The 21,801-nt window shown below is 44.2% G+C and overlaps 1 protein-coding gene across 10 annotated transcripts in view, besides 3 other annotated features; it reads right to left on the reverse strand.

The window, feature by feature from the left end:
• The window catches only part of HS6ST2 (heparan sulfate 6-O-sulfotransferase 2), a 335,356-nt gene that overhangs the window by 112,410 nt on the left and 201,145 nt on the right, over positions 1 to 21,801 (reverse strand). Inside the window, exon 4 of one of the 10 annotated variants that reach the window (XM_047442620.1) lies at positions 16,455 to 19,908. The exons of the other annotated variants lie outside the window; for them this stretch is intronic. Within the exon in view, the coding sequence (XP_047298576.1) occupies positions 19,839 to 19,908 (70 nt within the window). The 3' untranslated portion in view covers positions 16,455 to 19,838. Of the gene's footprint in view, positions 1 to 16,454; positions 19,909 to 21,801 lie in introns of those variants that run through there. 10 annotated transcript variants of the gene reach the window in all.
• Positions 4,464 to 5,265: an enhancer, noted in NCBI's record as "OCT4-NANOG hESC enhancer chrX:131876916-131877717 (GRCh37/hg19 assembly coordinates)". NCBI's record gives its function as "activates a minimal SCP1, AML or CMV promoter by ChIP-STARR-seq in naive H9 embryonic stem cells {active_cell/tissue: H9 hESC(naive)}" and the evidence as "EXISTENCE:reporter gene assay evidence [ECO:0000049][PMID:30033119]".
• Positions 12,583 to 13,164: an enhancer, noted in NCBI's record as "OCT4-NANOG-H3K27ac hESC enhancer chrX:131885035-131885616 (GRCh37/hg19 assembly coordinates)". NCBI's record gives its function as "activates a minimal SCP1, AML or CMV promoter by ChIP-STARR-seq in naive H9 embryonic stem cells {active_cell/tissue: H9 hESC(naive)}" and the evidence as "EXISTENCE:reporter gene assay evidence [ECO:0000049][PMID:30033119]".
• Positions 13,165 to 13,746: an enhancer, noted in NCBI's record as "OCT4-NANOG-H3K27ac hESC enhancer chrX:131885617-131886198 (GRCh37/hg19 assembly coordinates)". NCBI's record gives its function as "activates a minimal SCP1, AML or CMV promoter by ChIP-STARR-seq in naive H9 embryonic stem cells {active_cell/tissue: H9 hESC(naive)}" and the evidence as "EXISTENCE:reporter gene assay evidence [ECO:0000049][PMID:30033119]".

Raw genomic sequence — 21,801 nt, forward strand, 5'->3', positions numbered from 1 at the left:
TGCAGAGTTGTGGGAAAAGAATGGAACAAGATTGCTGACAGCTCTAAGGGAACCTCTGCATTTTGATGTCAATGGTTAATCTACTGTGTCACATCTCTTAAGAAACTAAACAAAATGCAGTAACTGCTATGACATTGAAGCTGTGTTGCAGAAACGATATTGTAGAGCAAATAACTATCTTATACTGGCTATTTTATGCCTTATTGAACAAGCAGCAGTTTATGAAAACAACGTTTCATAAATATGGTTGCAGATTCCTGTGTGGAGACTGCTAGAATTTGCAGCAAGGTGGACTCATTGGTTTCTTCATTCTCCCCCTGAGCTCTTTCCATGTTCACCCTACTCTGGACCTTAGCTAGCTAGCATGTGGCCCCACATCCAAGCACATCTTTCAAGGTCTAAGAGACGATGTATGAGGTATCATGGGAGGGGTCACAGCTATAGCAAGACCAACATAAACTCAATAAAAGGAGATACTTGAATGAAACTAGACCCTGGATTTTGTGGAGGGCTGGAACAAGCCTCAGAGTGGGAGTCAGGAAACCTGGACTGCAGTCCTATCTTATCCACCAGCTACACAAGTCACTTTACCACTGGGAGTCACTTCAACTCAGGATCCTCATCTGGAAAATGCAGATAAATGTACTTGTTCTCCCTGCCTCCCAGGGTTCGTGAGAGGAAAATGTGCCTTTAGAAGCTTCACAGACTATAAATCACTAGACGCGCACCAGGGATGGGATTATCACTATCATTTACTTTGAAGAAGCGGTTGCCAGAGGCGGTGAGCAAGTTCCTTAACCACAGTATTTAAAGAGAGACTGCCTGAACCAGTGTGTCAGGTAGTCACCGAGGGGATTTCAGTGGCATTGGTGGGGCTGACACTAGATGTACTCCAAGGTCCTTTTAAGTTCTAACTCCATGAGTCCAGAATGTACAGGCTTTTAATCATTTTCTTAGTAGTGACTGTGTGTTTAAGCTGGACTATCATTCCCTTAGCCTCATTTTTTATTCTATAAATTGTGGCTCATGCCTGTAATCGCAGCACTTTGGGAGGCCGAGGCAGACGGATCACTTGAGGTCAGGAGATCGAGACCAGCCTGGCCAACATGGTTAAACTCCGTTTCTACTAAAAATACAAAAATTAGTCAGGTGTGGTGCTGGGTGCCTGTAATCTCAGCTACTCCTGAGGCTGAGGCACGATAATTGCTTGAACCCAGGGGGCAGAGGTTGCAGTGAGCCAAGATCACATCACTGCACTCCAGCCTGGGTGACAGAGCAAGACTCCATTTCAAAAAAAAAAAAAAAAGGTATATCGTACAAAGAGGAGATATGATTAGTTTTGTACCCTGAGAGAATTTTTTAAAAAATATTATGCCATAAGCGTTTTCCTAAAACCTTAAATCCTTAAATATTTGCTAAGAACATGATTTTGGATAAATTGCTATGTAATATTCTAGCCTATGATTATGCCTTAGTTTAAGAAACACTTTTTAGACATTCAGAGTCTTGTTTTTTTCTATTATAATAGGGAAAGTTAAGATTTGTAGACATAAACAGTAGTGTCTGATGAATTCTTTATGTGAAATCTAGTAACAAAGCTATGGGGTCAAAGCGCATAGACATTTTTAATTCTCTTGATTACATTGTCAACATGTTCTCCATAAAGGCTGAGTAATTTATGACTCCCAGCAGTAGTGTAGAAAAACAACCATTTCACGAAATCTTCGTCAACCCTGGGAATTTTGATTTTAACATTTCTCAGCCAATTTTATATGCAAAAATAATTTCTCTTGTTAGTTTTAATTTACAGTTCATTGATTACAAGTGAAGTTGATTTTTTGCCTTTTGTTTATTACCTACTTGTACGTAATCTGTTGTGAATTGTCCTTTGTATCAGCCCCTTTTAGAACCTACTATTCACACTGCTCTGCAGATGTAATCAGAGTTTTCAGCCATCAATACCAAAGGAGAACAGGATTTTCTGAATGAGCTGAACCCCATCAGTTCCTAGAGCTTCTCTCCCAGCAAACCATTCACAATAGCGGGGGTGTGGGGGTGCTGAAATCCGGCAGTGATTTGTATTTCCCTGCATTTACTTCTCCTGCTCTGCTTCTTGTATAAGAGCTAATGAGCAGCAAAGCTGACAAAAGACTAAGAAAAAAGAGAAGAAAGGGCATAGTTAATCCCTTAAGTAGGATTGAGGAATGGGTGGTGTTTGCCTTTAGAAAGGGGGAAAAAAATTCAGGACTTTTTTTTTTTCAGCCATGCAGTTCCCAATATGTACCACTGGATGGCAATCCTCTATTGGTTAGGTAAAAAGCTCCTACCTGCCAAGACTAGGGAAACTGAGGAAGCAGCTGCTGAAACTGAGAGATAGGCACATGCAAGGCAGCTAACAGTTGAATACAGGTGGCCTTTAGACACCACTGGGAACATGGATCACTGATATGCAAGGAAATGAAAAGCAAGGAGTATATATTATAGACAGTGACACAGACAGTGGCTGAGGAGAGTCACAGAAGGGAATGCATTTCTTCCTACTTCATTTGTTCCTTCTTTTCCTCTGCTCTATATTGGGTATAATTTGATTTACCTTTTTGTGCTTGAAAAGGCAAAATTACCTACTTTGGGCATACAATTGTCAGTAAGTACTGCATGCTTCTGGGAGATGGAGTCGGGTGGATGCTGCTCTTGCACTATGGGAACCCTGAATTGCCCAAGCCTGGCCAGCTGCGCCGGCAAAGCCATTCAGAAAAGCAGTGCCACAGTTCCTGGGAGCAGAGAATAGAAAGCAAACCCACAGCCTCTTTAAGACTTGTTCTAGCCCTAAAGGCAGCATGGTGTAGAAGAAACAGCACGGGTTTTGTTTTTGGTTTTGTTTTTTTTTTTTTTTGAGACAGAGTCTTGCTCTGTTGCCCAAGCTGGAGTACAGTGGTGTGATCTTGGCTCACTGAAGCCTCTGCCTCCCAGGTCCAAGCAATTCTCCTGCCTCAGCATCCCAAGCACGCCACCATGCCTGGCTAACTTGTGTATTTTTAGTAGAGATTGGATTTCACCATGTTGGTCAGGCTGGTCTCGAACTCCTGACCTCAAGTGATCCGCCCACCTCAGTATCCCAAAGTGCTGGGATTACAGGCATGAGCCACCATGCCTGGCCAACAGCATGGGTTTGAGGGCAATTAGCCTCAGATTCGTTTCAGCTTGGATTCTTATAGTTATGCAGTTTTGGGCAAGTTACCACATCTCTCTCAGCCTTGCTGTCTTCCTCTATAAAATGGAGGATAACAGCACCTACCTCACTGCGTATAAGAGATACTGCCACTGTTGTTATTATTAATACATCCAAGTTCCACCCAGGGATGCAAAAAGCATACTTATAATACTCATTAAGACCCTGGGATCTGGCAGTACTAAGTCTGCAACTTACTAGCTGTGTGTCACTTCCATGAGTCATCCCTCCTCTCTATCTGTAAAAGGGATTAATAACAATGCCAACTCCATAGGATATTATAAGGATCAAAAGAGAAAATGTACACAAAGCATACAGCACAGTGCCTGTCACACAAGACACAGTCATTGGTAGGTGCTATTCATGGCAGTAGTAACAGTATTGTAAAAAATCTCTCCCAGTATTCTGAGAGCACAGTCAAGAAAAAAGACGTGCACATCTAGTGCTGAGATGAAAAGGTCTTGTATGGTCAGCCAGTGTGTGGAACCAGGCAGGTCTGAGAAAGAATGGGCAGCAGGACACAATCCAAAGACGGAAGCTGCTATTTCAAACTGGGGATCGTTTGCCTACAATGTGGTTTTGGTTCTTTTTAAAGGTGCAAGACAGACGTTTGCACTTGGATTCAGCTGTTTCTCTTAAGTCACTAAAATAGTCAAAGTTCAAATCTGGAAGAAACCTTCCAATCTAACACCCTCTGGAAACTGAAACCCAGAGATGGGCAATGGCTTGCTTCCCTAAGTCACAGGATGAGTCAGTTGCCTAGCAGGAAATGGGTTCCAGACCCCAAGACCATCAATAAGGGCTCCTCCCACTGTGTACCCCACCCCTAGACAGGCTACCACATGGCTAGTCCTTTAGAGAGCCCATTGCATAAAGGCCAAAAAGGACTTCCCCAAATTGGGGTGAGCCATTGTTGTGTATCCTCATCTAGCCCATCTAGCCTTATTGTAACCAGCCAAATCTTCCCAACAACAGGTGCAATACAGGTTTTTTGTGTGTTTCTGCCCATTCAAAATCTGACTCTTATTTTTGTATGCACCGATTTAAGGAAACAATTACATGGATAATCCACAAGTCACACATGTATATCTGGCTTTCCGTGTCACTACGTAATTTCCCTAATTTATGAAGTTCAGACAAATACTTAAAATCATACACATTTCTCACATTCCTCAACACTTAAAGGATTTAGGAGTTCAGGGTAAGCCTTATAGAGTCCTGTCTAGGCACCATGGTAACATTTCAGGTAAATGCCTCCAGATGACCAGCAGTGCATGTTTGAAAGTATAGGTGCAGCAGGTAGGGTTTTCAGGAAGGCTAAATGAGGAGCACACATGTCAATTCAAGACTCACAAAACCACAAAGAGCAATGAGGGAGATGGTGGCATGATTAAGCACCATCATGTGTCTCTGCAACACACAACGCCTAATTAAAAAACGCAACCAAAATAATCAAGAAAGTGGGATACAAAGAGCCAATGACTGGCTGGAATCATGGGCCAAAACCCAAGAGATATTTGACAAGGATAAAGGTCAAGCTGCAATCCAAGGTTTTAGAATATCAATTAGCTAGAAGCTGGGGGAGACCTGGTTTCACAGCAGGCCTTACAATAGGACCTTGGGGCTTTCATTGACGGGAAGCTCTGCATAAGCAAACAGGAATGAGTGGGGCAGGGTTATGAAAAGGCTAGGCCCCAGGGCATGGATCTAGGGTTCATTTTGTATCCCACACTCCACATGGGAGTAAATGGCAAACCAAAACACAACCAAAAAAAGGGGACTGCAATGACTAGCACTAAGGAAATTGCGTCCTACTGAGGAGTGACTGAAGAACTAGGGCAATTTCCCAGTAACTATCATATTGATGGCGATTGATAATCATAAAAACCAGCATTTATTGACCACTTACATACCAAGCCCATTGCTAAAGGCTTACCTCACCTCACCCTTCAGCTATGAGAGAGGGCGAGGGAAGTGGGACCTACCAAGAGATTTTATACTGACTTGCCCTAGGCACCCAGCTAGGAAGTGGTAGAGCCAGAATTTGAACCCAGATCATCTGACACCAAAGTCTGTGTCCTATCCACTGCACCAATTGCAGCGTTTTTTGTTTGTTTGTTTGTTTGTTTTTTGAGACAAGGTCTCACTCTGTTGCCCAGGCTGGAATGCAATGATGTGAACATGGCTTACTGCAGCCTCAATCTCCTGGGCTTAAAGAATTCTCTCACCTCACCCTCCTGAGTAGCTGTGACACCCAGGTACTGAGCAAAGGTGTGCTGCCATGCTTGGCTAATTTTGTCTGTGTGTGTGTGTGTGTGGAGAAACGGGTCTTGCCATGTTGCCCAGGTTGATCTCAAACTCCTGGCCTCAAGTGATCTCCTGCCTTGGCCTCCCAAAGTGCTTGGATTACAGGCATGAGCCACCATGCCTGGCCTGCAGCATTCTATTTTATAAGAATCATCAATGCTACCATTTATTAGATGCTTCCTATGTATATGCATCAAGCATTTTTCTAAGCATTTTCTGTGTCTAACCTCACTGAACTCTCCCATCAACCCTATGAAGTACATAATATATTTACTCCTATGGCTGGAGGAAGCAACTGAGGCTCAGAGAGGTCAAATCACTTGCTCAAGTCCACACAGCTGAGAAGCTTTAGAGTCACTACAGAGCTGTGCTCTCTTCTCTCCTTAAGAAGAAACTTGGAGGTAATAAGCTACACGGCCCCTGAGATCTGAAGGACTACAGTATGATGAGGAAGAAGATTCACCCATAGTCATGGTACCCCAGTGCACTTTATATCTTTTTTACTCAAATGTGGTTCCAATAGCTTGTGTCAACTGGGCTCCAGTGATTGCTAAGCAGATGCTTTTGGCATCAGCTGTTTATCTGGCCTCCCAAGTTATAGCACTGTAGTTTCTTCTTGAGTGGCTCCACCAGCCCAGTCAATCAAATAACCTATCAGCCTATCAGTTCACTCAGCTGAATTGTTTTTTTCACTCTATTGATCTGTTTGGCTGCACAGAATACATTGACAGGGTGCCCCAGGGTTATGTAAACACACCCCTCCTCCTACTGAGGGCTCTCTCTGTAAGCCTCAAACCTCAAAAGCCCCAAAGTCAAAGATCTGTTTCCACCATGTGCCCACTACACATTCAGACCAAAGAAAATGAATGAATGGAAGCCAGGTATCAAACATTCTCTCACTCACCGTTTAAAATTACTTAGAACTGCTCTGGCTATACTATTATGAATGTACTTTGGAGGTAACTTTTTTATGATTTGGGTTTTTTTGTTTGTTTGTTTTAACTTTTAGTTTAGATTCAGGCGTTACATGTACAGGTTTGTTACCTGGGTATATTGTGTAATTGCTGAGGTTTGGGGTAAGAATGATCCCATCACCCAGGTACTGAGCAAAATATCCACAGGTTTTTTTATTATTATTTTTTTGAGACAGAGTCTTGCTGTGTCACCCAGGCTGGAGTGCAGTGGCACAATCTTGGCTCACTGTAACCTCTGCCTCCCAGGTTCAAGCAATCCTCCTGCCTCAGCCTCCTGAATAGCTGGGACTACAGGAGCACATCACTGTGCCCAGCTAATTTTCGTATTTTTGGTGGAAACAGGGTTTCACCATATTGGCCAGGCTGTCTCCAACTTCTGACCTCAAAGGATCTGCCTGCCTTAGCCTCCCGAAGTGCTGGGATTACAGGCGTGAGCCACCGCGCCCAGCCCCGATAGTTTTTTTTTTAAGACCTGAAATTCTGTAATCTGTGAGAAAGGACTAGATACTCTGCCCAAGCAATGAAATCGAAGTCAAAATTATGAGTGTCTGGGGCCTTATAAAGCATAGTGGGAAGAGAATTGCCTTCCCCAAATACTTTGTACCCTTACCCATGTGCTTGATGTGGACCCAGACACAACTTAGACTGAAGCAAAGCTCTAGGTGAGAGCAGAATGAGTATTTCTCTCAAAATCTGTTGTGTCTCAAACCTTCACAGAGTTGGGGAAAATCCTGAGAGTTCTGGTTTCAAGGGTCACTGGCTTTAGAATCCCTTAGAAAGTAACTGAGAACAAGAAGAGAACACATTATCACCTTCTACTTAGATCAGTGGTTCTCAATTCTGGCTGCATATTAAAAAACATCTAGAGAGTGTTTCCAAGGCTGACCCATGAGATTCTGACGCAATTGGTATGAGTAGGGCCTGAGCAACAATTGTTTTTCTTATTAACTCTGGTATCAGTTTCTGTTTTTTTCTTACTTAAAATCTTAGGTGAATTTTCAACTTTACATAAAAAGGTTTGAATGTGCAGTCAGCATTGAGAATGACAGACAACGCTTCCTACAACAGCCTTGGCTACAGTACAAAAAAAGAGATGTTTTGCTCACTTTCCTGGAGCAAATGAGTCTAAGTAAAAGATACTGCCTCCAATGACCCAGGATCCTACGGTACACGGCTTTTAGGAATGGGAATATCTTTGCATGTAAACCTGTAGGGCTTACTCCAAGGCCAGAGAATGAAAACCAAGCTATAGATTGGTGCAAAAGTTAATGTGGTTTTTGCCATTAAAAGTAAGGGCGGCCGGGCACGGTGTAATCCCAGCACTTTGGGAGGCTGAGGCAGGCGGATCATGAGGTCAGGAGATCGAGACCATCCTGGCTAACACGGTGAAAACCCGTCTCTACTAAAAATACAAAAAAATTAGCCGGGCGTGGTGGCGGGCGCCTGTAGTCCCAGCTACTTGGGAGGCTGAGGCAGGAGAATGGCGTGAACCCAGGAGGCAGAGCTTGCAGTGAGCCAAAATCGCGCCACTGCACTCCAGCAACAGAGCGAGACTCCGTCTCAAAAAAAAAAGGTAAGGGCAAAAACCACAATTACTTTTGCACCAACCTAATACATTTAGATGAGAAAAAACATTCTGACCTGAAGCTCTGGCCTCCTCATAATCAGCCAATCCCCACCTCACTCCCTCTGCCTAGGAAGATGCCTCCCTCCAATAATGTTTAGGTGAAGGACAACAGAATTCAGCCATGGCCTTTCAGTCTAACTGAAATCTATTGAACAACCTGTATCCTGTTCCTGAAGTCTACAGTCACAGACATCCAAGCGAAACAATCCCATGGACCCACCAGGGATTGCACAGGTGGGCCTATGGCAGACATACCACCACAGAGCAGGGCTCTTCAGGACTTGAGCTAGCAGAGTCCCATGAAGTATCCTGCCCAGTGAATAACAAACAACTCGTTTGGATTTCCCATTTCCCTACCTACAGTGGTTGGTTTTTCAATTCACCGAGGAAACAAGAGTCAAACTTTTGTTACCATGGGAATCTGAGTCCTCGGTCATTTAAAAAACACTGATTGTCTACTTTGGGCTGGACCCCGTGCTATCCACTTGGGACATGGAGAAGACAAGGTCCCTGTCCTCAAGAAGTTCAAAGCCCAGAGAAAGAGACAGATGAGTCAACCATGACAGACAGTTGATAAAGGCTAAGGTGAGGAGGGGTTGTGCAACTCAGTCTTGGAAATCAGGAAATGCTCCCTGGAGGAGGTGATGCATGAACTGTGCCTCAGTATGATGGTTTGAGGACAAAACCTGTGCCACAAGGGGACTTAGGTCTATAACATGGCTTTGTCCACCTGAATCTCCTCTGTAACTGAGGAACTTCATTGATTCTCTACTTACAAGGCATATAACATAGGAAAGCTCGCTGGAAGGGAAATGTGACTAGAAATAGACAAGGCTGTTTACCTAAGGGAGGAGAGCAGCAAGTAGGTCTGTCCCTCTTTTCTATAACTTTCCCTATTGGCAGCAATTAAAGCATGCCCCTGCCTCTCCAGGAGACTAATCTGCTGCTTGGGACTGCTGAGAGAGACTGCAGCCCATAGTTGCAAAGACTAGAAGAAAGAACCCTGAGTTCAAATCTTGGCTCTATCTCCATGGCTGTGTGACCATGAGCAAGTCCCTCCCTCTCTGTGGGCCTCAGTTTTCCCATTTGTACAAGGGGGAGGGAGGTTGGGCTCAATGTTCTCCAAGGCCCCTTCCAGCCCTAATGCTCTCAGATCTTTTGCTTGCCCAAGGTTAGACAGGCACAGGGCAAAAACAAAAGTCCAGCCAGAGAGGAGTCAGCTGTCTCATCTATTTGCAGATGTTGGGACCACCAGAGGATGCTGCTTCTTGGGGCTCCACACTCTCCAGGTGGGAGGCTCATTCTCCTCCCCACTATGGGAAGGAAACTGCAGGCTGGCCAGGTTTGGAAAACAAAGCCATGTGGAAGGCATGCCATGAGTGACAAAAATCCTATGTTATTTTCTTTGATTTTTTTTTAAAAGGTTGACATTTTTCAAAATAAAGCTGTTACTTCTCTGCCACAATGCATGGGCCAGTTAGCGTGTTCATGAATCAGACATCAAATATTTTCTTTCTTCCCCAACATAGCTCTCTCTGTGGGAACAGAGAGTCTAGTATCAATAATACCATTAGAGGGGAACTACCCTTCAACATACCTAAGCTGCAATTCCAACCTGCCAAGCAGGGAAAAAGTGATCCCAAATCCTATAGCCGTTACTGTCTACTTCTTTTCTTTTGAAGGACCCTTTGATTTCTTTCTTTCTTTTCATCTTCTTTGGCTTTTCAAGCCTATCTTGAACACTTTGGTGATACTCAGGAGGTCATTAGGCGTTTGCCTCTTGTTAAGCCTCACTCAGAAAAGGACCGCTGGTAATAGAACCAAAATAAATCTTCTCACATTTAACTCCTCTCTCCCACAAAGCAGCTGTCCTTGGCTGCCACCACTGTTGCCACAATTTAAAGGAAGGTGGCTACATACCAACCTTTGGTGCCCAGGGAGGAGCCATCCACAATGACACACACTTGGCCATCTACGAATGCTGACCAGGATGGAGCTGAGTCCTAACGCTTGGATCATACTTGGGAAAAACCTTTCTACAGCCAGATGCTCTTTTTTTGAGACGGGGTCTCACTCTGTCACCCAGGCTGGAGTGCAGTGGTGCAATCATGGCTCACTGCAGCCTTGATCTCCTGGGCTCAAACAATCCTCCTACCTCAGCTGCCCAAGAATCTAGGACCACAGGTGTGTGCCACCACATGCAGATGATTTATTATTATTACTATTATTTGTAGAGACAGGGCTTTGCAGTGTTACTCAGGCTGGTCTTGAACTCCTGGGCTCAAGCAATCCACCTGCCAAAGGCATATAACACAGGCAAGCCTCCCAAAGTGCTGGGGTTACAAGCGTGGGCCACTGTTCCCAGCCTCAGACACTCTTGATTTCATTTATTCTCTGGAAAACCTGTGCCCATGGGAGGCCTCTCATCTCTAAACCGAGATTCCCCAAATATGGCAAATGCATGCATGCCATTGCTCACACAGTTCTCCTCGCTTGGAATAGCCTTCCCACCTGACCCAGCTCAAATATCACCTCCTCTGAGCAGCCTTTCCTGACCCTCTCCCCTCACAGGCAGAGTAATCCATCCTTCCTTCGGATTCTCACAGCACACTTTGTTCTTGCCGCTACCATGGCACTTATTACATTACATTAGAGCCAAGTGGTGACTGCCTTTTACCTCTGAGTGACTGTGAGCTTCTTGAGGACAGGGGCTTCATCTAATATTGGAACAATTAGCCTTGGGCTCAGCCCATAAAATTTTCAGAGCTTGAATTGAAGGGGTAAATTCAGACTTCAGCAATGAAGTTGGAAAGCAGTCCTCCCCAGCCATAAAATTCTGTAACTGTACAAATAAAATGTGGTCCCACAGACACACTTGTTTTGGGGGCTTGGGGAGGTACATATTTGGCCGTGTTAGACTGGTCTAGAAATCACAATTCCCTTAACTAAACTCACCAGATGGTTGGCAATCAAGCTCAATCACTTAGTTAAGGTGAACCAACTTGATATGTCTGTGTCAGGCAACAGACAGCTGGCTAAGTGACTGACACCCCTGAGCCGCAGGCCACGTGCTTATGGGAAATGGAATAGTGTGTGGGGGTTGGGAGAGGACAAGGGAGTCTGGATGCATTTATTTTGAATTGGGTGATGCACTTGTATAAAAGCAAATTGGAACCCTTGACAGAGTCATTCAGCAGTATCAAAGATCTATAGTCACTGCAGCCTGGTGGGGGGAGTGCTACTAGTTACAGTTGCTTGGCTGTAAATAAAATCTCCCCTGGAATGAAGCATTTTAATTCGAAGTGATTCTATAAGGAGCAGCTGAAAAACCTTTCAAGGAAGCTGGCAGTGTTAAGAGGAACCTCTATACCAATAGGAAAGGGCTTTGAAAAGAGCTAATGAAGTTTCAGCACGCAGCCCTGAACATGAGCTAGGCCCATTTAGCTACTGGTCAGTGTGTTTCAGAAACAAAGCAAATTAACCGGGGTGGGGGGCCTAGGGAGGACACACCCCCCAGCTTCCTTCTTGAAGTTTCCTGCAAAACACCAAGAGCCAACAGCCTCATCCCCAGCCAGTCTCCCACCACAATCTGTGGGGCCAGATCCAGCCTTCTCTCCAGACTGGACACAGTCGAGTTTGGGCATGTGTACTTGTAACATTCTTCTCCAATTGCAGTGCCTGGTACAACACCATGAACCTGTTAGGTGCTCAATAAATGTTGACTGACTTGAATTTTTGGAGGAAATTTTTGTTTGGTTTTCCTAGAAGTGAAAGATGCCCATCAAGAAAAAAAAAAAAAAAAAAAAGAGATCCAAGGAAACGCTGCAAAGGCGACTTTGCTGGTCAGTATCACACCAACAGGAAATGGGGTAAGGAGTGAGCAAGTAAACCAAAAGCCACAACAATCTACTTTTAAAACTACAACAATATGTGGGCTGTACAGTAGTGCTGCTAGCTTTGTTTTCATCTAAAGACATCTGTTTAGAGTTTCTTTGGCTCCAGCACTTTATTTTGTGGTGTGATGGGCCAAGGGTATGGGAACTGGGTAGAATCACGTGGATATATATGTGTGAAGTTCCCCAAACAGGCATAATGTTGTCTACAGAAGATAAAGGAGCTCTCAGGATACTGCAATTTAACAAATACCCAGGAAATTCCCCTGTCTCTAAATCCCCACCACCTCTAACCTGTAGCTGGGACCTCAAATTACACCATTAGTACACCAAGCCTTCGGCTTCAGTATTCACCCCTGTGCTTGGAAGCTTAGTACATCTCTCTTGATGTTTTACTCAGCCAAGGTGGGGAGTATGTAATAAGCCACAAACACCAGGCTGCGTGATCTGTTGCTACTCAGATCTTTGACAGCATAGCAAACCAGCTCCAAGCCGACAGTGGGAGGGATGGTAGCTTAACCAGGGGATGAGGTGCAGGGCACAGACTCTAATCCAAAAAGAGAAAGGAGGCAAATCATAGACACATGTGGTCCTGGTAGAGCAAGCTAAATGGAGATTTCACAGGCCAAGAATTTGTTCTGGAAACGCTATTCATGGTTTCTTAATCCACAGTCTAGTCACCCACAGCTCAGCCCAACCTCTGGGTACACAAAGAAAGATCTGGGTAGAGGACAGCTGCCATTCTGGATCCACCCCCACTCCAAAGAACTCTTAGAAGCAGTGTGTCTCCTGAGGTGGGGCGGGGCGGGGGGGCTTATTTCCTGTGGCAACAGCTGCTTCTGTCTCCCACTTTTCAATGAGGTCATCTAGTCTTCAGCTGCACAATCAAAAACAGTAAAGAGCAGGCCTCTGGAGTTATGATTGTCATTAAAACTAAACTCCATCAGCACATTCTCAGGACTGCACCTGGGAAGGCAGATGCAGGATGCTGCCCATTCTCAGGGCTGCTCCTAGCTCCCAGGGATCTGAGTGCAAAGCCCAGACAGGGGTCATCACACATTCCAAATGCAAAGAATTTACAGACAGGGGAGGAAGGAGGAGCAAGACTCTGAGCCACTTTCTTCTGGAAACCCTTTCTTGACCAAATACCTCCCCTTCTTCCTGTGAGCATGGAAAAGGAAGGACAAGAAATCTCAGCCCTAGGGAATACCACCTTGGAAAACCATCATTTTTCACACTGTCACTTCCGGGATTCTCCCAAGAGCAAGCTATTGTTCCTGAGCCATTTCCCATGTATTAACCAGCACGAAGGACACACTCCAACAAAGCTGGCAGGCCTCCTGCAACATGTCTCCAGAGTTATTCCTGGGTCTGTACTCTAGTGGAAGTGTCCCCTACCCCAGTCCCAAGCTTCAGAGTTTCAACGATGAGAGCTATCATCCAGTAGGCACCTTTCCTGCACCAGGCAATGGGATGAGTGTTTGAATTAGCTCCTTTAATCTCACAGCAACTCTACCAGCATCCTCATTTTATAGATAAAGACACTGTGGCTCTGTGGGGGCTACATGACTTGCCCAGGTCACACAATTAAGAAATTCTGGGACCCAAACCCAAGTCTCTCTGAAACCAGAGCCAATGGTCATATACATGAAACTGGACAAAGTCTCTGGCATTCACTCTGCAGCATTTCCCCTGCTAAATCCCATGTGGTGGAACTGTTAAAGAACTGACACCAGGCCTGGCATGGTGGCTCATGCCTGTAATCCCAGCACTTTGGAAGGCCGAGGTGGGCAGATCGCCTGAGGTCAGGAGTTCGAGACCAGCCTGGCCAACATGGTGAATCCCCATCTCTACTAAAAACACAAAATTTAGCCGGGTGTGGTGGCGCACATCTGTGGTCACAACTACTTGGGTGACTGAAGCAGGAGAATTGCTTGAATCTGGGAGGCGGAGGTTGCAATGAGCCAAGATTGCATCACTGCACTCCAGCCTGGGTGACATAGTGAGACTCCGTCTCAAAAAAAAAAAAAAAAAAAGAACTGACACCAGATTTAGATTTAGCCACTTCTTCCAATGAGACTCAGACTGCCTAGCTTTGAACGATCTTCTCACGCAGACGCTGATCAGAAATGGGATGGTATGCTCTGTGAGTTAGTATCAGAATCACCTTCTCCCAGATCCCAATTCCTCGCAAAACACATCTTTCTGCCAAGTCAAGTCAGCTCAATGTTGTACTTTCATGGCTGCAGTTTTCCCTGAGGGAATAAAGTTAAAGCAGTGTCTCTACCCAGCTTTCTGCTCCAGGCTGGCAGCTTCTTCGCCCTGAGGAAGACAGTGAGGAGAAGTCCGTGCCTATGACATTATGTCTTGATTGAACACTTGTCCTCTCTAATTGGTATTGATGTGAAAAGAGGGAAAGGAGGAAAGAGAGCAACAGGAAAGACAAAACCCACTTTAGTCATGTCATTTTCTAGGACAAAGGTCCAGGCTTCCAGAGCTCTATCTGAGAGGCAGGCCCAGGCAGCAGAGGGGCCAATGCTCTTTGCGAGGATGGCTTTGCTTGGCAGGAATAAATCAGCTGCAGGAGAAGCTCATGGCTTTGCTTGGCAGGAATAAAGCAGCTGCAGGAGAAGCTCTGGCTGCTGGGCACAGCATTATAACCTTTCTTGGACTATACTCTGTTTCTGTGGCTTAGGCTTCCAACCACTGCCTCTTCTCTTCACAGGGCTGTACAACTGCAACTTTGGGAAGTGCACACTGAGCTTCATCTAAATTCATTCCTTGTCAGAAGCCAAGGAATGTAATTCAGCTTATGCTAAGGAGAAGGTTGTGGAGGAAAGAATACTATGGATTTATTTATATACAAATAAAGAGAATGCAGTGTGTACAGGTGATAGGGTTTGGCTGTGTCCCCACCCAAATCTCACCTTGATTGTAATAATCCCCCATGTCAACATGGGGAGAGGTGGAGATAATTGACTCATGGGGGCCGTTCCCCCCATACTGTTCTCGTGGTAGTGAATAAGTCTCATGAGATCTGATGGTTTTATAAATGGGAGTTCCCCTGCACAAGCTCTCTTGCCTGCCACCATGTAAGGTGTGACTTTGCTTCTCCTTTGCCTTCTGCCACGACTGTGAGACCTCCCTAGCCATGTGGAACTGTGAGTTCATTAAACCACTTTACTTTATAAATTACCCAGTTTCGGGTATGTCTTTATTAGCAGCATGAGAACAGACTAATACAACAGGTGTCTCCTAGGAAATCCAGTGCTACAAATGTATTTTGCACTCAGACAGCAGGGCCAGGATGAAGGTGAGGCAAGCAAGGTGCTCACCTTGTGTGTAAAATTTAAGGGGGCACCAAAACATTCAGCCATCAAGATACTTTTTCAAAGAATGTTTTGTATTTTAGAATAGTTTTGGATTTCTAGAAAAATTGTGAAATAGTACAATGAGTTCCCATAAGCCCCACACCCAGTTTCCCACATAAACATCTCTTGATTAATAAGGTACCTTTGTCACAATTAATGAGCTAATATCAATTTGTTATTAACTAAAGTCTATGCTTTATTTAGATTTCCTTAGTTTTTACTTTTTTCGGTTGCAGGATCCCACATTACATCTAGTTGTCACATATCCTTGAGCTCCTCTTGGCTGTGACAATTTCTCAGACTTTTCTGGATTTTGATGACTTGATAATTTTGAGGAGTACTGGTCAACTATTTTGTAGAATCCCATTCTATTGGAATTTTTCTGATGTTTTTCTCATAAGTAGGCTGTGGTTATGGATTATAGGGAAGAAGACCACAGAGATAAAGTGCCATTCGCATCTCATCATATCCAAAGACACATACAATCAGCATGATTTATGATTGGTGATGTTCACATTGATCACCTGGCTGAGGCAGTATTTGTCAGGTTAATCCATGGTAAGGATACTTGTCTTTCCCTTTCCATACTGCACTTTTTTTTTTTTTTTTGAAACGGAGTCTTGCTCTGTCGCCCAGGTTGGAGTGCAGTGGAGCAATCTTGACTCACTGCAACCTCCGCCCCCCTGGTTCACGCCATTCTCCTGCCTCAGCCTCCTGAGTAGCTGGGACTACAGGTGCCTGCCACCACGCCCATCTAATTTTTTTATATTTTTAGTAGAGACTGGGTTTCACCATGTTAGCCAGGATGGTCTTGATCTCTGACCTCATGATCTGCCCACCTCGGCCTCCCAAAGTGCTGGGATTACAGATGTGAGCCACCACACCCGGCCTGCACCCTTTTTTTTTGACAGGATCTTGCTCTGCTGCCCAGGCTGGAGTGCAGTGGCATGATCAGGACTCACTGCAGCCTCAACCTCCCAGGCCCAAGTGATCCTCCCATGTCAGCCTCAAGAGTAGCTGGGACTACAGGCACATGCCACCATGCCTGGCTAATTTTTAATTTTTTTGTAGAGAGGGAGTCTCACTATGTTGCCCAGGCTGGTCTCAAACTCCTGGTCTCAAGCAATCCTCCTGCCTCAACCTCCTAAAGTGCTGGGATTTCCGGCATGCGGCACCATGCCTGGCCCATACTATACTCTTTTACAAGGAAGTCACTATTCGCAGTTCATACTTAAGGAGTGAGGAGTTACACTCCACCTCCTTGAGGGCAGAGAATCTACACAAATTATTTGGAATTACCCTGCACAAAAGATGTGTCTATCATCCATTTATTTAACCATTTAATTATATCAGTATGGACTCTTGGATGTTTATTTTATACTTTGGGTTATAGTCCAATAATACTAGTATATTTTCTCAAGTTTTTATACCTTTGGCTGTTGGTAGCTCTTTTAGTTGGCTCCTGTGATGTTCTGCTTTTTGTTTTTGTTTGTGTATTTGTTAACACTTCCTTACTTTCTGGCAATACAAGATGTTCCAGGCTTATCTTGTGTATTTTCTGCCTCAGTCCTGGAATCGGTCATTTCTCCAAGGAGCCCTGGTTGCTTTTATTGAAAAACAGTATTAGAAAACAAACAAGATTTGGATTCTACTTGAATAAATGATATTTAAGGCAATGGTTTTTTTTTTTTAAGTCAAGAAAATATGGCCCACAGGATGGCTGCCTGATTCTGTATATAAAGTTTAACTGGAACCAAGGATGGTGTTAGGGTGGGTCAAGAGAGGCAGGGGTGTGCAAGGGCAGAGTTGGAAACTGTATTTAAAATTTTGATATTTGTTCATTTTGGATTTGTCTACATTAATTTTAAGTCTTTAAAACATATCATTACAGCTACTCAGGAAACCAAGGCAGGAGGATCACTTGAGCTCAAGAGTTCCATGATCGCGCCTATGAATAGACACTGCACTCCAGCCTGGGCAACATAAGTAGAAACTTCTCTTTTAAAAAATCATATCATTAAAATGTTATTTATGTTGATTACTGATTTTTTGGTACCCCCTTTAGTTTGGGCCTTGTTGGAAAGCAATCTGGCTTCAGGTCAGTGGTCCAACTGAATTTGTTACTGCTTTCTGAAAAAGGGTGTAGCTTAAGGCCAGTGTCTTCCTGGGCAATGGAATCTCCCAATGGAGCCACGTATTAAAGCCATAGAATTCCAGGCCTCGGCCCAGCCCTCCAAAATCATGACAATGATCTACTTCTGGTGTTTGGCAACCACTAAGGTAAGCTGTCTAACACAGGTCTGTGGATAGGGAGGTGGTTTGATAAAAACATACTCCAAAATGATCATCCTTTACTTTGTGTAGAATAATGGCAGTTGTTCTAAAATTTCAAATAATACTGAAGGATGGGGAGGTGTACTTGTGGTTCTAATTGGAATCTGGGTCTTTAAAGATGACATTGATCCTGAGCATGTATGTCCCAGAAATTCCATTTTGGATTAATGAAAGCTGGAGTCTGTGCCCTGTGCATCTTCTCTTCCTCTTCCACCAACTCAACAAGATGAGGGGAAAGCAGCTCCTCATTTAGACTTTCTCTTCATCTGCCCACAAATAATGTGCTGATCTCTCTCATTGACTCCTTTGCCCTGAAGGCTCGCTCTCCCTCTCCCACCTCCTTTCCCCCTTTCTTGATCTCTTGCACTCTCTTGCTTTTGCTCGCCCAGCCTCCTGGCCTCATAGATTCCCTTTGCTGTCACTGGTGCTTTTTTTCAAGGTTGCTGGCACTCCCATGTGTGCTCTCTTGCTCCTGCATGAGCTTTCTCCATCCATCTTGGGCTCTTTCCCTACCTCTAAAACACTGGCTTGCTGTCACCTTCTCAGGCCTGACTGTGATCTCGCTTTCTTTATTGCTTTCTCCTACTCTCTTTCTTTCTCCCTGTCTCTCTTCAAGTGGCTCTCTCTCACACGTTCTTGCTCTCCCATTCCCCTGTGCATGGTGTGTGTGTGTGTGTGTGTGTGTGTGTGTGTGTGTCTTTTCAGTACCCGAGAGTCATGAGTAATTTCCCTAAATACAGAGTACCCCAGAGCAGAACAAGAACAAGGCTGATCTCACAGGGAGAACAGGAAAGATAATAATTTTTTATTCACAAGAAGAAAAATGCCACTGGATCCAAGGTTCTCAAGAGTGGTCTCAGAAAACGTAAAGCCCTGGGGGTAAAAGGTGCTGTAAAAGACATAGATGTGTAATCTAACATTGTCTATTACAGATAAAGCCAATAGCCTCATTAGAAGCAATCAAAGTCACAAGGAGCATCCTCTGGAGAAACCCTAACAGCTGGGGCTATTTAGGACTAATTGCTTAACTCACCCTTAGGCACAGGAAGCTGAGGCTGAAGGAGGAAGACATTTAACTCACCTCAAATGTGTTACTAGCAAAGGAACTTCCCAAAGTAGAAGAGCCAGCATCTCTGAGAAGTCAGAGAGGAGAGGCTTCTGAAGAGTTGCTAAAGGATTTCACAAACAAGCCTCGAGCACAGAGTCACTGGTTAAGCCCCTGGTTTCTGCCACCAAAGCAGTCAGGCAGGCTCACTTCCTCACCTCCAGAAACTTCTCTCTGGCCACTCTCTGCCAGGGAGCAAAGTTGTAATATGATTCGTGGCACCTGGGCAGATGCTGGGTTCATGTGTGGGTGTGGTGAGAATGCAGAGTGGGGTGGGGACATCCTGAAGAGCAAAATGGAGAGAAACGAGGGGAGCTCCAAGTGGGAGCTGGCCCTTTGTGTTCTCTCTCTCTCTCTCTCAGCACCCCCACCCACCACGTGCAACTTCCCTTGCACCCCCATAAGCAAAAAGTTAGGAAGGGATGATTTAGGCAGTGCTTTAGTGTTTTGTGACACTTCTAAAAGTCTTTTTAGACAAACACAGGCCAGGGGCCAAAATAAGACTTGGGCCATTCCTCTTTGTGATATTTGCCTTTTATGAGAGATTTAGCCAGCATGTTTTGGGCTCATTTATAGGACTCCATCTAACTGCAGCAAAATACAAAAATCATTCAGTTTCCAGAATGGAGTCTGATTTTTCATAAATACTTTCCTTCAGGAACAGAAAGGGCTAATTCAGAAGGAGACACTAAATCTCCTACCGAGTGAATAGGAGGCAAAATTCATTCTTCCCAAATTTGAACACACATGAGAAAAACAAAATACCCTTGGGCATACAACTTTCAGAAATTTCTATTTAATAAAACCCAAAGATGGGTCTTCAAAAATACTTGTCAAATTTACTGATGTGGATGAAGTTAACTCATAAATGTTAAAACTCATCCTGCAACTTTACTTAATGTATTTTCAGTCACGGATAATGGCCAATAATTAAAAACTTTCTTAGTAAAGTAGGAACTGTGAATAAATAGAAATGAGTGAGAAGACTTACTTCAGGGTCATCTTTTCTGAATGAAACTTCTTATCTTTTTCAACAGGCACCTCCTCGCCAGGTGATTCTGCTGCAGGCTAAAGTGTGCAGATCAGTGATTTAATGCAAGACCCAACAGAGGAAGCACATTCAAGTTACAGACACTCTTCATATATTTCCTTCTGGAATTCATATGAGAGTCCCAATCACCACCCATCAAAGCAAGGTTTGTCCAATTACGTTAGTCTTCTCTACTCACTTTTCTGGTCTTAAAGGCTACAGAAAAGTTGCCCAAGGCAAGGTCATGGTTTCCTAAGAAGAGGATGCTCTTGATGACATTGACCAAAGCTTTGCACCCCACAGAAGCAGAAAACCTGCCTCAACATTGATTGCCAAGTAGCCTGCAGAGCCTAAAGAAAGGGTCTCCCTTTCAGCTCCCAAGGCCAACAAAAGCCTTCTCAGGCAGGCCCACAGCTCCAAGGGCAAACTGGCTGACCTACAAAAGCCTTCACATACATTTGCCAAATCCCGTAGTATTTTCACCGAGTCCTCTTAACTGTTGGTCCTTCTTCCCACTTCTCACTTGAGCATCAAGCCAACTGGAGTTCCCCTCCTTTCCCCTTTTCAGCTGACTCATCAAGCCTGTCTCGTCTGCACACAGCCTGATATAGAAAGCCTATAAACCATCCCCGTGCAAAGAAGTGGCCAGCTCCACTGTATTTGAGTGCTGAAGAGCTGGGCCCCTCCAACCTGGGTGGTGTGAGTAGATGGGCAGCTGCAGAAATAGACAACCAGGAGCTTCAAAGGGTCACATTTCCCCTGAGGGTTATTTGGTGCCTCCCAAGACTAAAATTCCTTCCTTGGAATGTGGCAAGATGGAAATTAAATGCAAAGAGGCTGACCTGCTAACCTCTTCCTAGGCTTTACCATCATTTGTTTATAGGGGGTTTAGAAAATCTTTCCCTCCCCTTACTCAAAGTTTCAAGCTCCTTTTCTCTCTCAGCTACCAGGCAAAGAAAATAATGTGAAATATGGGCAATAAGTATTAAAGGAGTAATTTCTGTGTTGGCCTGAATGAGACTATATCACTTCTGATTTTTCACTTCACTCTCTGATAAGGCAGTCCCAGAATATCAGAGTATATTTCTTTTATTTAGGAATATGTTTCTGATTGATTTTTGGAAAAAAGCTCACTATCTAGCCTTCCTGAACTTCTCAGATTTATGGAATGGCATATGATCTGAAAGCAACATTAAAAAAAGATTTGGTAGGTGGGGGTGATGGGGAGTGATTGTTTAATGCATACGGGTCTCATTTTGGGGTGCTGAAAATGTTTTGAAACTAGATAGTGGTGATAATTTCACAACATAATGAGTGTCACTAAATGCCACTGAATAGTATAATTTTAAATAGTGAATGTTATGTTATGTGAATTTCACCCCAATAAAAAAAAGCAAACAATTTGGCAATGGAGAAACTTGTTCTGCCTCCTGAGCAGCAAAGAAACATAACCTAGAAGATGCAAAATCTTCAACAGCAACAACAACAACAACAATACAATCAGCTAAGATCACCACGCTTAATGATAATAGCAAACATTTATTGATCACATGGGCCAGGCACTGTACTAAATTACATGCCCTATTTCACTGAATCCCCACACAACAATCCTATGAGGTAGGTTCTATTTATGATTCACTGAGGAAGTAGAGGCTCAGAGAAGTTAAGTAGTATCCTCAAGGTCACATGGCTAATAAGTAAAGACATGGCTCCAACTCACTACTATCTAATTCCAGAGTACATGCTCTTGATGGCATGTGTAGGTGATCAATCAGTGTGCATATAGGAGGAAGAGTTTTCTGCGTCTATAAAAGCTCGGTTTTTGAGGTGAGTGGGGTGAGCTCCTTGAAATGGCAGACATGAGAAAAGGCAGAATTCGTGACTACAGCATTGGCCACCAGAGCAGTAATGTGGGGTGAGGCCAGGGAGAG

The sequence above is a fragment of the Homo sapiens genome, chromosome X, assembly GCF_000001405.40.
Source record: "Homo sapiens chromosome X, GRCh38.p14 Primary Assembly".
NCBI lineage: Eukaryota > Metazoa > Chordata > Mammalia > Primates > Hominidae > Homo > Homo sapiens.